General features: G+C 54.4%; 1 protein-coding gene across 7 annotated transcripts in view, besides 4 other annotated features; it reads right to left on the bottom strand.

The window, feature by feature from the left end:
- Nucleotides 1-13848, bottom strand: part of MYO15A (myosin XVA) — a 71045-nt gene that overhangs the window by 34064 nt on the left and 23133 nt on the right. For 3 of the 7 annotated variants that reach the window (XM_017024714.3, XM_011523918.3, XM_024450781.2), the window contains exons 9-26: nt 13171-13284; nt 12351-12512; nt 9913-10026; nt 9262-9320; nt 9051-9174; nt 8058-8153; nt 7491-7622; nt 6801-6926; nt 6126-6203; nt 5072-5220; nt 4905-4950; nt 4594-4718; nt 3967-4084; nt 3483-3658; nt 2897-2981; nt 1941-2022; nt 1737-1867; nt 1145-1240 (exon numbers count right to left, since the gene is read on the bottom strand). In XM_017024714.3, coding sequence (XP_016880203.1) covers nt 1145-1240; nt 1737-1867; nt 1941-2022; nt 2897-2981; nt 3483-3658; nt 3967-4084; nt 4594-4718; nt 4905-4950; nt 5072-5220; nt 6126-6203; nt 6801-6926; nt 7491-7622; nt 8058-8153; nt 9051-9174; nt 9262-9320; nt 9913-10026; nt 12351-12512; nt 13171-13284 — 2013 coding nt within the window. Of the gene's footprint in view, nt 1-468; nt 950-1144; nt 1241-1736; nt 1868-1940; nt 2023-2117; nt 2411-2896; nt 2982-3482; nt 3659-3966; nt 4085-4593; nt 4719-4904; nt 4951-5071; nt 5221-6125; nt 6204-6800; nt 6927-7490; nt 7623-8057; nt 8154-9050; nt 9175-9261; nt 9321-9912; nt 10027-12350; nt 12513-13170; nt 13285-13848 lie in introns of those variants that run through there. The other 4 variants (NM_016239.4, XM_017024715.3, XM_024450780.2 and 1 more) reach the window with 3 other exon arrangements.
- Nucleotides 1556-2520: an enhancer, noted in NCBI's record as "H3K27ac-H3K4me1 hESC enhancer chr17:18046531-18047495 (GRCh37/hg19 assembly coordinates)". NCBI's record gives its function as "activates a minimal SCP1, AML or CMV promoter by ChIP-STARR-seq in primed H9 embryonic stem cells {active_cell/tissue: H9 hESC(primed)}" and the evidence as "EXISTENCE:reporter gene assay evidence [ECO:0000049][PMID:30033119]".
- Nucleotides 2521-3486: an enhancer, noted in NCBI's record as "H3K27ac-H3K4me1 hESC enhancer chr17:18045565-18046530 (GRCh37/hg19 assembly coordinates)". NCBI's record gives its function as "activates a minimal SCP1, AML or CMV promoter by ChIP-STARR-seq in primed H9 embryonic stem cells {active_cell/tissue: H9 hESC(primed)}" and the evidence as "EXISTENCE:reporter gene assay evidence [ECO:0000049][PMID:30033119]".
- Nucleotides 8633-9626: an enhancer, noted in NCBI's record as "H3K4me1 hESC enhancer chr17:18039425-18040418 (GRCh37/hg19 assembly coordinates)". NCBI's record gives its function as "activates a minimal SCP1, AML or CMV promoter by ChIP-STARR-seq in naive H9 embryonic stem cells {active_cell/tissue: H9 hESC(naive)}" and the evidence as "EXISTENCE:reporter gene assay evidence [ECO:0000049][PMID:30033119]".
- Nucleotides 9627-10620: an enhancer, noted in NCBI's record as "H3K4me1 hESC enhancer chr17:18038431-18039424 (GRCh37/hg19 assembly coordinates)". NCBI's record gives its function as "activates a minimal SCP1, AML or CMV promoter by ChIP-STARR-seq in naive H9 embryonic stem cells {active_cell/tissue: H9 hESC(naive)}" and the evidence as "EXISTENCE:reporter gene assay evidence [ECO:0000049][PMID:30033119]".

The following is a 13848-nucleotide window of genomic DNA, read 5'->3' as shown; positions in this document are numbered from 1 at the left end:
CTGCTATATATATAGAATATTTTTTTGAGATGGAGTCTCTGTCACCCAGACTGGAGTGCAGTGGTGGGATCTCAGCTCACTGCAGCCTCAACTTCCCCGGGCCTAAGTGATCCTCCCACCTCAGCCCCTCAGGTAGCTAGGATTACAGGCACATGCAGCCACACCCAGCTAATTTTTGTATTTTTAGTAGAGACAGCGTTTCACCATGTTGCCCAGGCTGGTCTCAAACTCCTGGACTCAAGGGATCTGCCTGCCTTGGCCTCCCAAAGTGCTGGGATTACAAGTGTGCGCCACCGTGCTTGGCCTACAACTGCCATATTCTATGCCGAATGACCAGGCAGTTTACCTCAACTATGGGAAAACTAAAGATCCAAAGTATGTGTCATCTTTCCTGTTCATGAACCTTCTAGAGCTCCCCATGCAGCCCTAGCCCCCTCCCTGCACCCCTGGCCCTCCAGCCAGCCCCCACCTCCTGCTCTATCTAGGCCGCAGAGGGTTCTTTTTAACATTCAGATATGACCACAACCCTCCCATGGAAGCACCTGCCTTGGCTCCCTAGGTGCCTTGGGATGAAATCTAAGCTCTGGGTACTGTAATCAAGGCCTCACTGGCCAGTCTCACCCTTGCCCTCTTGACTCTGTTCTGACCACACCAATTTCCTCTTCTCTGTGTACTTTCTCCACTCTCCCTGCCTGGCAAATTCCCCTCCAGCTCAAATGCCTTCTCCTCCAGGAAGCCCTCTCTGGCCCTGCCCAGGGCTGAATTAGTGGCCCCATCAGACTCCCCAGACTTGGTGCTTCCCTCTGTCCATACTGGTGGTCACTGGCTGGGTCAACTCTGCCTCCCCCTTCAGACTGAGAAGTCCTTAAGGAGATCTGGGTCTCTTCTTGGTGTCCTTGAGAGGCTCCAAGGCAGAATTTTTTTTTTTTTTTTTTTGCCAGGAAGATGGCTGGGAGAAGAAAAGCCACCAGTCCTCAGAGAGGAAGCCAGATTTCCCCCTCTGACATAAAAGTCTGTCCTTTGGGGAAGAGGTGTGGGGCTCATGGGTTGGGCTTGGGGAGGGCTGGGAAGACTGGGAGCCTCATGGCCCAGTTTCAGGGCCAGGGGCTAAGAATTAGAAGGTGGGCTGGGGCAGACCCCATACCAGCTTGAAGATGCTCACGGCTTCTGCATGGTGCTCGGCTGGCAGCTGCGTGAGGGGTGTCCTCAGGGGCACTGTCAGCATCCCAAAGGCAGGTTCCTAAGACACAGGGCAGGCACATGAGCAGACAGAGCTGGACTGACAGGCACATCTGGACCCACTGCTCTGTGCCACATGGGGCTCCAAGGCCTATGAGGCAGGGGCTTTGGTCCTCAGTGTATGGATGGGGAAACTGAGGCTGGTGAGGGGCCACCACAGTGGCCCTCAGCAAGTCGGTGGTAGGGACAGGATAAACCTTCATCTCAAGGGGAGGAAATCAGAGCTGGGCTGACATGCTATGGCTCCACCAGTTGTTCAATTTCTGAAATATTTCCAGACTGGTTGGTGGTAAACAGCCCTGCCCGAGCCCCTGAGGGCTCTCCACTGCTATCCAGACCTCAGGGATCTCCCAGATTCCCTATGATCCAGCAACTAAAAGGCTCATACCCAACACCACAGGGCACAGCCAGGAGCCTGCCCCAGGGCAAGGACAATGTCCATTCTAATTGGTCAGCGCCTATCAGCCAGGGAGCCTTGGACTTCAGCTAGCCCTTACCTTGAAGTGGCACTGGACAAACTTGGCCATAGGATAGTTGTTGATGTCCAGGGGCAGTGTGACACGGGGCTCAGCCTGGAGTCGAGGAGTCCTCACAGGGGCCACCTGAGGCACCTGGGCCAGCCCGAGGCCTGTGGAAAGAGGAGGGAATGCGGTGCCTGCTCTGATCTGCCTGGGCCCTCCCCCCGCCTGGTGCTGACCCACCTGCCACTGCTTGCAAGAGCCCAGCCAGCTCAGCCGGTACCTCCAGGTGCCCCACAGCGACTACCTCCCGCTTGCTCAGCTCCTAGAGGGACAGTGCATGGGACAGGGACAGGCCTGCCACATCCCCACCTGCCAGCCTCCCTCCTTGGCCCTGCTGCCACCCAGACCCACACCCACCTCCTGCTCCCACAGCAGCGCCCCCTCCACCTGGCACCTCCACTCTGCCCTCAGCTTCAGAAGAGAAGATGTCAGGTTGGGGAGTGGCAGGCAGAGGTGACGACCGGCACCCAGGCAGGCCAGGCCAGCTTACGCAAGGCGGCCACACTCAAGCAAGGGGGGCAGCTTGCCTGTTGTGTGGAGGTGACTGCCCCACTCCACAGGTGGGGCGGGAGGCTGAGGTTGGCCAGAGAAAAGGGGAGGGAAAAGGAGAGAGCAAGAGAGAAACAGAGGCAAGCGGAGGGAGAAAAACGCTGGGGAAAGAGACACACAAGGAGGATTTCTGGGAGGTGGCTGAGCACTGTGTCATGGGAAGCCCTCCTCTGTAGCGCCACCTTCAGTAAAGGCTACCTACTGCTTCATTGCTTTGGGAACTGCATTTGTCTTTCTGGTGGCTAGTTTGCATGACAGTGGGTCAAGACATGAAGGTAAGAGCAAAACCATACCCAGTGACATTCAGGTCACCAAATTCTAATGGCCCTCAATTCCCGAAGACCCCACTGTGAACCCAGCACCAGGCCAAATCCTTCAATGCAACATCTCATTTAACCCTCTCCACAATCCCAAGGGGTAGATGGGAAAATCGAGGATAGACAATGGCCAAAGTTAAAGAGCTAGTGGGTGGCAGAGGCAGAATTTGAACCCAAGACTGCCTGAGGCCAGTAGTCTCCTCTTGGGTGCTAAGTGCCCTTTCCCCTTCTCTGCTGTCCCCTTGGACCCAGATAGGGTAGGGCCTATACCTTGAGATAGCGTCGGCGGCTCACGTATGCGTGTACCAGGGACCGGAACTTCACCAGACTCCTCCTCATCTGCTGATAGCGTTGCCTGGGTTGGGGTAGTGGGGAGGTCAGGGATTGGGGCCACAGGGTGACAGGGTGACCAAAAGGTAGAGAGGCCCTTGCCAGCCTGGCCTGGGAGCCAGTGCCCACATCTCACTTTTGGGGTCCTTTGGCTCAAAGGGAAACTGGAGCTCAGAGAGGGGCAGTGACTTTGCCAAGGTCACACAGCATATTAAGTAGCAAGGCCTGGATTAAACCTGCCTGAATAATTTATTTCCCAACAGCTTATAATCTCAGGTCCCTGAAATGCAGGGTAAGGCCCCTCTTGGCTGAATGGATTCCCACCCACCAGTCACAAGGGCCTGGGGTTGGCTGGGAAGGGCATTCAAAAGCAGAGACACAGAGAATCTGATCATTCTCCTGCAGAGGCCTCCACCCTCAGCTTGCATGCCTCCAGGGATAGGGAGCTCACCACCTAAGTTCAGGCGTGACCTCTCCCGAGCCTGACCATAGGTCTCCTAGGAATCCTGCCTTTTCTGTGCCTCACCTGGCAAGGTAGCCACGGGCCCGGCTTTGCAGCAGGATGATCTTGTGGCGCAGAGAGCGGAATCGCCGCTTAATGAAGAAGCCACGGAGGCAGCGCTGCAGAGTGAGGGCTGCCAGATTCAGGACATGCTCTCGCATACTCTCCAGCAGCTGGTATAGGTGTTCCTTAAGGAACAGCTAAGGACAGGAGGAAGGCACTGAGGCAGATAGGAGCCAGGAGGCTGGACTAAGGGCCCCTCCCTCTCTAGAAGTCCGTGGAGACAGAATAGGCAGGGCAGCCTCCTGGAGCGGGGCTGGAGGGATGGGGTGGACTTGGAGAGGTTGAAGAGAGGATGCTGGTGAATCAGGTAGTTAGCATTCCATATCCCAAGCTCATCTGGGTTGCTCCTGGGATGGCAGTCTCTAGCTTGGACATTTCTGACTCAGTAGTTGTGGACCCCCCCAAACTTGGGGTCTCCAAGGGCTGACTGTCGGGCAGGACTCACCTTGCTGACCCCAACACGGTACATGTTTGGCATGACTTTGCACAGGCGACTCAGCACTGACACACACATGTCCCCATTAGCCGGCAGGTCATGCTTGAGGGCCACTAGACAGCAGTACCTGGTAGGGGGCCCAAAGTTAGTCTGGGGCTATGAGACCTACCCGAGGTGTCTGCTAGACCATGGGGTTACTGCCCCCAGCCAGGTGTCCAAAAAGCCTGGTCCCAGTGGTGGCTCCACAAATAGTTTATTCTAATCTGAAAAAAGGCACTCCATCCTCAAGACTCTTTACTTCTGGGTGTCAGACAATTGTTATAATAGATGATTTCAGTACAACAGGACACTTGACTGCCACCTGCTGGAAACTTGTCATTATAACTACTAAAACCATTCTAATAACGCGGAGCGTTGATTAGACATATTATACGTTATACAACATATAACTACAAAAAAAGGCAAAACAATAAATGTATCTACCACATTAACAGTTAGCATGTGGTAGCCTTGTGAAGTGTACAACCTGAGCAACTGTGCATGGCAAGCCCTGTACTGCCTGGGTTGTGTATTCCTGGGGCCATGGGGAGTTGGGCAGGGATTTGTAGAGCTCAGGAACTACCGTAACCAAGATACCTGTCGATGAACCCCTGGAAAGGCAGGCGCACTGGAAATCCCTCCTTGCGGATCCTCACGGTCTCCAGCACCCCTGAATAGCGTAATTGTGCCATTACCACATCTGGCTCAAAGAGACCTGGCTCCTGTAGGGATGCCCAGAGAGGGAGTCTGCACATTGGCTCAGCCATGTGCAAAAGGCATTATCATGGTGAATATTCCCAGTGCTAGGCTGGGCAGATGCAGGTCCTGAGAGGCCAAGCCACTTGCCCAAGGTCACACAGCATGGGCAGGAGGATTTGGCTCTCTCAGAGGCCTCAGCTCTCACTCACCTTCTTGTGGTTGGGCTTCAGGCAACGCATGAACAAGGGGTTGCACCTGGCAGTGGCAGGAAGAGGACAGCATGAGGCCTCAGAAAAAGAAGGCGCTCAACCTCTGAGGGTCATGAGGTGGGTTAAGGATGAGGCTGGGTGCTCCGCCCACCTGCCCCCCACCCCACCTCTCCATCTTTTCCACCAGATCCAGGAGTGACTGCTGGAACTTGGCGGCCACAGTGTGCGCCTTGTAGAGCCGAGTGACGGAGCTGCTCTTGCCCAGGCGCTGAGGGGCAGCCTGTGGGGCATGGCTGGAGAAGAGGTGTGCCACCACCTGGGCAGGGGTCGGGGCAGGGAAAACAGACAGGCAGGGTCCGGGAGACCGAAATGAGGAGGAAGAGAGAGCAGGAGTAAATCTCCGGACCAGGGGGATCTGAAGACTAACTGGACCCCTGTTCTCTCTGCAAGGCCTCTGTCATCCTGGCTTGCATGCTTCTCAAAACAGGTGGGGCTCAGCATCTTCCAAGGGATCCATCCCATAACTGGCTTTTTCCCCTTCAGTCTAAGGAACACACAGTTACTGACTGTGTGCCTGGCCCCAGGGTGGCCTGTTAGATACATGGTTGTGAACTCTGGCTATGACCTCATGAGGAGGTTGCCCAGTTGACAGGAGGAAGCGGAGGGCCAGATAGGGGAGGTGATGTTACCAGGCCTGTGCTCTGTCATAGGGCCATCTGCTGGCCGTAGTGTAGCTGGGATGCAGGGCCTCCCCAAGCCTTCAAGGAACCCAAAGTTGGTCCCCCAAGCTCTTCCCCGGGGCCTTATGGGTGGGGTGGGAGAAACTGAGAACACCAGGAGGTGGGACTGGGGGAACAGGTCTGGCAAGAAGCCAGGAAAGAATGGGCCAGGGAATGGGGTGGGGCCCAGAGTGGGGTAAGTACAGGGCAAGGCCACAGCTGGTGGGGTACAGGGTTAGAACTGGGAGCGGGGCCAGAGTCTAGCCACTGGGGCTGTGGGGAGCCAGAGGACAGGATCAGGATGAGGCGCTAGGTTTAGGGCGGAGCCAAGCTAGGTGGGAACAGGCCAGGAACAGGGTGTCCAGGCCACCCTTGTCTTTGTCTGGCCAAAGCTAAGCGGAGCCAGGACGTGGCAACACGGTCCCAGGCCTGAAGGCAGGCTGGGTGTGGGGGTGGGGACATGCCTGGGGGCAGGGCCAGAGCGGTGGGAGGCGAGGCTTACCCGTGTCCGGCTCCGTACGAACAGGTCCAGCACATCCTGGCGCACTTGGTCGTGGTTCTTGTCCAGGAACTTGTGCACCTGAAAAGGGGAACAATGGCCTGGGTAATCCTGGCCTCTGTCTCTCTGTCTATCCTAGGAGGGACTGGATCCTCCTCACTTCTATGGTCCCCACCCCTCCAGCCCCCACCATTCTCCCTACTCCTGGGGGAGGGGAGCATTCGCCATGGCTTCTCATGACCAACCTGGGTCTTGGCCTCACCCTCAGTGAAGGACATTGTCCTGTGCCCATTCTACAGATGAGAAAAGTAAGGCCCGGATGGGGACAGAGGCATGGAATCCTAGCCTGAGACACCTCCAGGGCAGGAATGTGCCTCAGATAATAGTGATGAGGGTGACCATAGTGATGTCACTATTGATGAGCTACTCTTTATCAAACCCACCCTACATTTTTCACACCTGCCCCATGAGTTGGGCACTATTATTACCCCATTTTCCAAGTGAGAGAACTGAGGCTCAGACTGGCTAAGCAATTTGCTCAAGGTCACAGAGCTGGGGCACAGCAGAGCCAGAATTGGACCTGGCTGTGAATGTCTGGGGCCAGTGTTGTGCTTCTGTGTCTCCAACAGCTAGCAGCACTGCAGCACCAGCGTCCAGGCCGACTGTCTTAGGGCTCACCTGGTAGGTGACCTTGCCTGCATAGTGCTTGATGGTGAACTCAGGCAGCGGCATCTTGGGTTTGGAATAGAGCGGGTTGGCGCCATGATGGTAGTGGCACTTCTGTAGGAAGGTGTGGTCTGTAGCCTGGGGGCAATTTAGGGATCAGTGGGTGGGCAGGAGGCCTGGACACCCTGTTCCTGGCCTGGTGGCAACCTCACTATCCCCGACTGCTCCCAACTGAGCACCAGAGAGGAACAACTCACAGCTTCCCATGGCTGCCCATCTCCCTGGGTCAGAAGGCGAGTGCCTTAGCTAGGCACTGGAGGCCTGAGTGGTCCCTTGAAGATAGGTGTAGCTGGGTGAGCTCCTAACTGCCTCCCCTCCAGGCCAACTGCCTTTGCACTCTATTGATCTCACTGCCATTCCACCCTTGTGTTTTGCAATCAGGATTTGAGGCCCAATTCCAAGGTTACCTACTCCAGGAAACCTTCTGTGGCTTTCCAGACTGGTGTAGCCTCTCTTCTGAACACCCACAGCGGCCCATCTGGCCTCAATCACCCCAGGTTGTGAATAGTAGGTCGGGTGTCCCAACCCCCCACTGCCTGACTCAGGCCAGAGCAGAGAGGAATGAAGGAGTCAGGGTGGGATGAGGACATGAGGCTGAGAGATCTGTGACCTGACTAGGCTCACACAGTGCCTGCGGCTCACCTGGGGAAAGCAACACTGGTCGTCAAGGATCCGCAGGATGCCATAAGGCTTCAGTGAGATGAGGTTGATGCAGGGCTGGTTGTCAGCAAAGGTGATCTCCTGCCAGTCTATCTGCTCACGGATGTACTCCTCCTGCAGGCAGTGGGCAGCAGGAGCTCAACCTCCCATCCCTGTCCAGGGCCCACCCACCCTCCCTCCCATGTTGAATCTGAAGGAGCCTGGCCAGCAGCACCTCTGCTTGCATACCTCCCAGAACAGGGAGCTCACCCCCTAATAAGGCAGCATGAGCCAACTCAGGGTCCTGCTGCTCCCTCTGCCTGGGACAGCCCAGTAGAGGAGAAGAAGGACCCCCACCAAGGGGACTCCTCTCTGAGCACAGCACCTCAGCACCTTTCCCTCCAGAACAGAGGCCTTCCCATGGGCTGGTCCCCAGCTTAGAATGCCTTTCCCTCTACTGTCTACTGATGTCAGAATTGCCCTTAAACAACCAGTATATCCTCATCTGTCTCCAAGGAGGTCCACTGGCCAGTCAAGACAGGGACAGGAGTATTAATGGGGCCCACACACCTGCTCCTCCTGGAAGACGATCTTGTTGAAAAGGTACTGAAGGTTCTCGTTTGCGTAGTTAATACACAGCTGCTCAAAGCTGTTGAAGCTCAGGTCCTGCCAGGTGGATGGGGGTGCTGGGACTGGTCCTTCCTTGGCCACCAGCCTGTTTGCCCCTACCTTCCCTGGTGGCAACTTCAAAAAGCTGGAGCTCAGCCACAGGCCCTCAGCTCACAACCCTCCACAGCTCCTGCTGCACCCAGGACAGAATCTGACAGGCTCTGTCCTGACAGCACAGGCAGTGCCTGAAGGCCAAGGCTCTGGGGCCTTCTGCCTGGGTTCAAATGCTGGCTCTGCCATTTTCTAGCTACATAACCTTGAATAACAGCCCCATGCCTCAGTTTCCCCATCTGTAAAATGAGGATACTGACAGTACCTGCCTCATAGGGTTGCTGTAAGGATGAAGTGAATTAACAAAGTGCTTTAAACAGCACCTGGCACATAACAGGTGCCACGTGAGTGCCTGTGATGGCTGCATGGTGATCTTGCCCTGTCCCTCACCACTTCCTTTGCTGTGCACTCACAAAACAGTCACCCCCCAACACACGAAGTCCAGTCCCAGACCTCATGACCCGCCACCCCTCCCAGCCCTTGCATATTCTGTTCCCTGCACCTACAGTGCCTTTGCTGGGTCTCAGGAGTGTCTCATCCTCATCCAGGAAGCCTTCCCCACCCAGCCTCACCTGGAAGCTCCCCAAGGGCAGGGCCCTGGCTGGTCCTTTCTGGGCAGCTGGTATTGCCCAGCACAGGGCCTGGCCCAGAGGCCTTGGGAGTACTTGTGGTGAGTAAAGAAAATGGAAGGAGACAAGGGAGATGGTGACAGGGAGGGGTCCATGAAGGGAGGATGGCACCTGCTGCAGGCACAGAAAGGGATGGGAAGGGCAGCCCGAGACGCCTGAGGGAGGCGAGACCTTGCCTATGTCCCCCGCCCCTCAGCCTCCTACACGGCCCCACCTCGAAACCATAGATGTCCAGGATGGCGATGGACAGTGTGTCCTGCCTTGGGGACACCAGCGCGTTGACCCTGGTGATGAGCCAGCTGAACAGCAGTGCATACAAGACCTTGGCGATGGCGTCCCTGGAGCAGAGGTGGTGCTGGTGTGAGCAGGACACCGTGGTGGGGTGCTGGGCCTCGGGGCTCAGGCAGGGGAGGGCGTGGCCTCACCTGGCATCCACAGCGCTCTCCACAGTTAGGGGCGTGAAGATCTTCTCTCGCATTGTCTCCTAGGGACGGGCACAGCCCTTGAGTGACATCAGGCTGGCCACTCTGCCTCCGGAAAGCCCCCAGGGGACTAAGGGAGTGGGATCATGGAGAAGGGAGGCTGGAGGGATGTTGTGACTGTGCACACAGAGACTAGGCAGGACCACCCCTGCCCCCACTCTGACTCTGCCTGGAAATGCTGGTAGTAGTGGGGACTGCAGGTCTAATGGGGGAGACAGAGGCATCAGCAGATACAATGAGATCAACCCTGGGAAGGGAGAATGGGCCTAGGACTGTGAAAGACCAGAGGAGGCACTGACCCGTCCAAAGATTAGGGAAGGCTTCTTAGAGGAGGGGATACCTGGATAGGGTCTTAAAGGATGAGTAGGTGTGAAAAGAGGAAGAGCATTCCGGGTAGAGGAAACAGCCTATGCAACAGTCTGAGACTGGAATCTGAAATGTCTCTGGGGTCTGAAATTACTCCCCTCCATGCCTGACCCAGGGACAGAGAGAGCAGGAGAGAGGGAGAGGCTGCCCACAAAGGATCGGCACAAGCAGCTCTGTCCAGGCCCTGGTAGAAAGCTTTGTTCGAAGGCCAGATGCCCACAGACTCACGGTCACTTTGAAGGTGATGGCCTTCTGCAGGCCCTCAGGGGAGATCTGCAGCAGCTCTGCCACGGCCTGGATCTCTCGGGCACTCACCACTGAGGCCACCTCCTGTGCATCCGTCTATGCAAAATACCAACAGGAATGTGCTTTGAACTAGATAGGCTAAATTTAAAGTTCATATGAAAAACAGGGCCGGGCACTGTGGCTCATGCCAGTAGTCCCAGCACTTTGGGAGGCTGAGGCGGGTGGATCACCTGAGGCCAGGAGTTCGAGACCAACCTGACCAACATGGAGAAACCCCGTCTCTACTAAAAATACAAAATTAGCCAGGTGTGGTGGCGTATGCCTGTAATCCCAGCTACTCAGGAGGCTGAGGCAGGAGAATTGCTTGAACCCGGGAGGTGGAGGTTGTGGCGAGCCGAAACCGTGCCATTGCACTCCAGCCTGGGCAACAAGAGCGAAACTCCATCTCAAAAAACTTAAAAAAACAAAAATAGCCACGCGTGGTGGCGGGTGCCTGTAATCCCAGCTACTTGGGAGGCTGAGGCAGGAGAATCGTTTGAACCCAGGAGGCGGAGGTTGCAGTGAGCTGAGATCGCACCATTACACTCCAGCCTGGGCGACAAGAGTGAAACTCCGTCTCGAAAAAATAAAAAACAGAAACAGGCTGGGCACGGTGGCTCATGTCTGTAATCCCAGCACTTTGGGAGGCTGAGGTGGGAGGATCGAATGAGGCAGGGAGTTCAAGACCAGCCTGGCAACATAGTGAGACCCTGTCTAAAAAATGTGCTGGGCATGGGACCTAGACCTGTAGTCCCAGCTACTCAGGAGCTGAGGCAGGAGGATTGCTTGGGCCTAGGAGGTTGAGGCTGCAGTGAGCTATGAAAGTGCCACTGTACTCCAGCCTGAGCCATAAAGTGAGACCCTGTCTCAAAAAATAAAAAGAAAAAAAAGCCGATTAAAAGAAAAAAACCAGTGTAGTCATAGACACAGTACATAAATAGATTAACAAAGCACAATAGAACGTCTGGAATTAGACATAAATGTATATATAAACTTAGCACATGACAAAGATGTATTTTTCTTTCTTTTTTAAAAATAATTTTTTTTTGTAGAGATGAGGTCTTGCTATGTTGCCTAGGCTGGTCTCCAGCTCCTGGGCTCGAGCAATCCACCTGCCTTGGCCTCCCAAAATGTTGGGATTACAGGCATGAGCCACCATACCCAGCTAATAAAGATGTATTTTTCAAATCAAGAGATTAGGACAATTGAGTAACCACCTGGGAAAAAAGTTGGATTCCTACGTCACACCTTACTGGGATAAATTTGGATGGATCAAAGATTTAAGTGTTTTTTAAAACTCACAAAATCCATAAAAGGTCTTAGAAAAAGTTATGGAAGAAGGCTGTTACAATTTTAGGAAGTTTCTCCAAAAATGAAAAAGTTTAAAATTTCAAATATAAAATTTAAATGTACTAGAAAATATTGATAAATGAACTATCTAAAAATAATTTTAAAACAATTTGCATAAAAAACCCAACAGGCCGGGGCACGGTGGCTCACGGCTATAATCCCAGCACTTTGGGAGGCCGAGGTGGGCGGATCACGAGGTCAAGAGAGCGAGACCATCCTGGCCAACATGATGAAACCCCATCTCTACTAAAAATACAAAAATTAGCTGGATGTGGTGGCACACACCTGTAGTCCCAGCTACTCAGGAGGTTGAGGCAGGGGAATCGCTTGAACCTGGGAGGCAGAGGTTGCAATGAGCCGAGATTGCGCCACTGCACTCCAGCCTGGCGACAGGGCGAGACTCCATCTCAAAGAAAAAATAAATAAATAAAAATAAAATAAAATAAAATAAACACCAAAGGGCTGGGCGCGGTGGCTCATGCCTATAATCCCAGCATTTTGGGAGGCCGAGGCCGGTGGATCATTTGAGGTCAGGAGTTCAAGACCAGCCTGGCCAACATGGTGAAACCCCGTCTCTACTAAAAATACAAAAATTAGTGGGGCGGTAGTGGTGTGTGCCTGTAATCCCAGGCAGTCGGGAGGCTGAGGCAGGAGAATCACTTGAGCCTGGGAGGCGGTGGTTGCAGTGAGCCAACAGGAGTGAGCCAAGACTGCGCCATTGCACTCCAGCCTGGGTGACAGAGTGAGACCCCTCCCCGCCAATAAAAACCCACCAAAAAACATTGTAAACAAAGTTAAAACATAAATGACAAACTGGAATATATATTTGCAATTCATATCAGACACAAAGGGCTGATTTCCTTAATATATATAAGGAGGAAAAAGATGAACAACCCCAAAGGAAAAAAGAAAAAAACAGGAACAAGTGATATGTGCATAGTGTAATCTGAAAGGGAAACAGAGAAGGCCTTGGAAAAGACGGCCAAGTCCAGAGGGTGCGGGCCCCATGGCAGGCTGTGGCGTCCCCTCACCTCATACTTCTCAAAGTAGACGTTGCCCAGGTGCAGGATGGAGGCCAGGATGCGGAAGATGCTGTCCTGGTCCTCACTGCTGAAGCCCAACACCTCCATGGCAGCCAGGAGCCGGCGAAAGTCATCTGCATCGCTCTTTCCTGCTATCTCACAGTTCCCACCCTGCATGAGGGCAGAGGCTGAGGGTCAGGGAGCTTGGGTGGGGCTGGGGAGCCCTCCAGGTCCTGCTCTGCCCTGACCAGTAGTGTGGTGGCCTGAGTTGGTCACTCAAGCTGTCATTTCACTCTCATGGGCACGGAGGCTCTGAGCACGGCTGAGGACGGAGTTCATAGATTCTAAGTGCAATGTGTGGCAGGGGTTGTCACCTGTTGACCTTTGCAGCTGCCCAGTGATAGTAATGAAAAGAGTAGCAAGTGTTTACTGAGCATGTACTGCATGCCAGGCCCTGTGCTAAGCTCTTTACATGCGTTTCCTCATCTAAGCCTCACTACATCCCTGCAAAGTGGTACTATGTTGTCCCCATTTTACAGGTGAGGAAACTGAGGCACAGAGAGGGGAAGTGTAGAAACTCTAGACTGGTTGGTTCTGTTCCAGGTTCCAGAGAAATGAAGTCAGGTAGGCCTTTCCTGCTTCCGCTTTGGACCCAGAAGACTCCTGGTCCCCCTCACTGCCATGAGATGTCTTAAATCCAAACTCACCCTCCCCAAATCTCCTTCACCTTCACACTCCATCACTCACAACTCGGCTCCCAAGGCCCAGCCAGGGGCGTCGGGGTGGGAGGACCAGGGCCAGGGGCCTTCAGATGCCTGCTGGCACTCACCTGGTTCAGATAGTAGTAGGTCTCAGCCTCTTGCAGGCTAAAGGCCTGCCTGAGCTGGGCAGGCAACCCGGCCAGCAACTCGTAGAAGATGTGGTAATTCCTCTCGTTTTTGGCCTGTAGAGTGGGTAGGTGGGCACAGAGAAGGGAGCCACCTACCTAGGTGACCCCCAGGCACACATACAAGCCCAAGCCTGCCCACAAGTGCACATGCACACAGTGGGCTGCAGATGAGAACACGCGCCTCTGTGATGGGTGAGGCTCCCAGCCTGGTGCCAGCTGCGGGTGAGGGCAGAAGCAGAGGTGCCCTGGTATGATTGAAGTTTGAGAGGGTTCTGGTGGGATTTTATTTGGTTAGGAGAAATAAGAGAAAAGGGACCCGTCTTCTCTTATGTGTACCGGCCACACACACCTGCATACATGTGTGTCCATAGCCCACATGTGCACACACAGAGCTTCTTGATGGCTGAGCACTTCCTGTGCACCAAGCCCTGTCCTAGGCCCTTGGGACATAGTGGGGAACAACGTAGAGAGAAGCCCCTGACCTGATGGAGCCCACCTGCTAGCTAGGGAGACAGACACTCAGCAAATAACTGCTTAAAACATAAAATATATGAGACAGGGAAAAGTACACTGGAGAGAAATAAAGCAGTGGACGGGGTAGGGGCTCTGATGGGATGG

Source organism: Homo sapiens, chromosome 17 (assembly GCF_000001405.40).
Source record: "Homo sapiens chromosome 17, GRCh38.p14 Primary Assembly".
Taxonomy (NCBI): Eukaryota; Metazoa; Chordata; class Mammalia; order Primates; family Hominidae; genus Homo; species Homo sapiens.
This window is presented reverse-complemented; position numbering and strand designations above follow the sequence as displayed.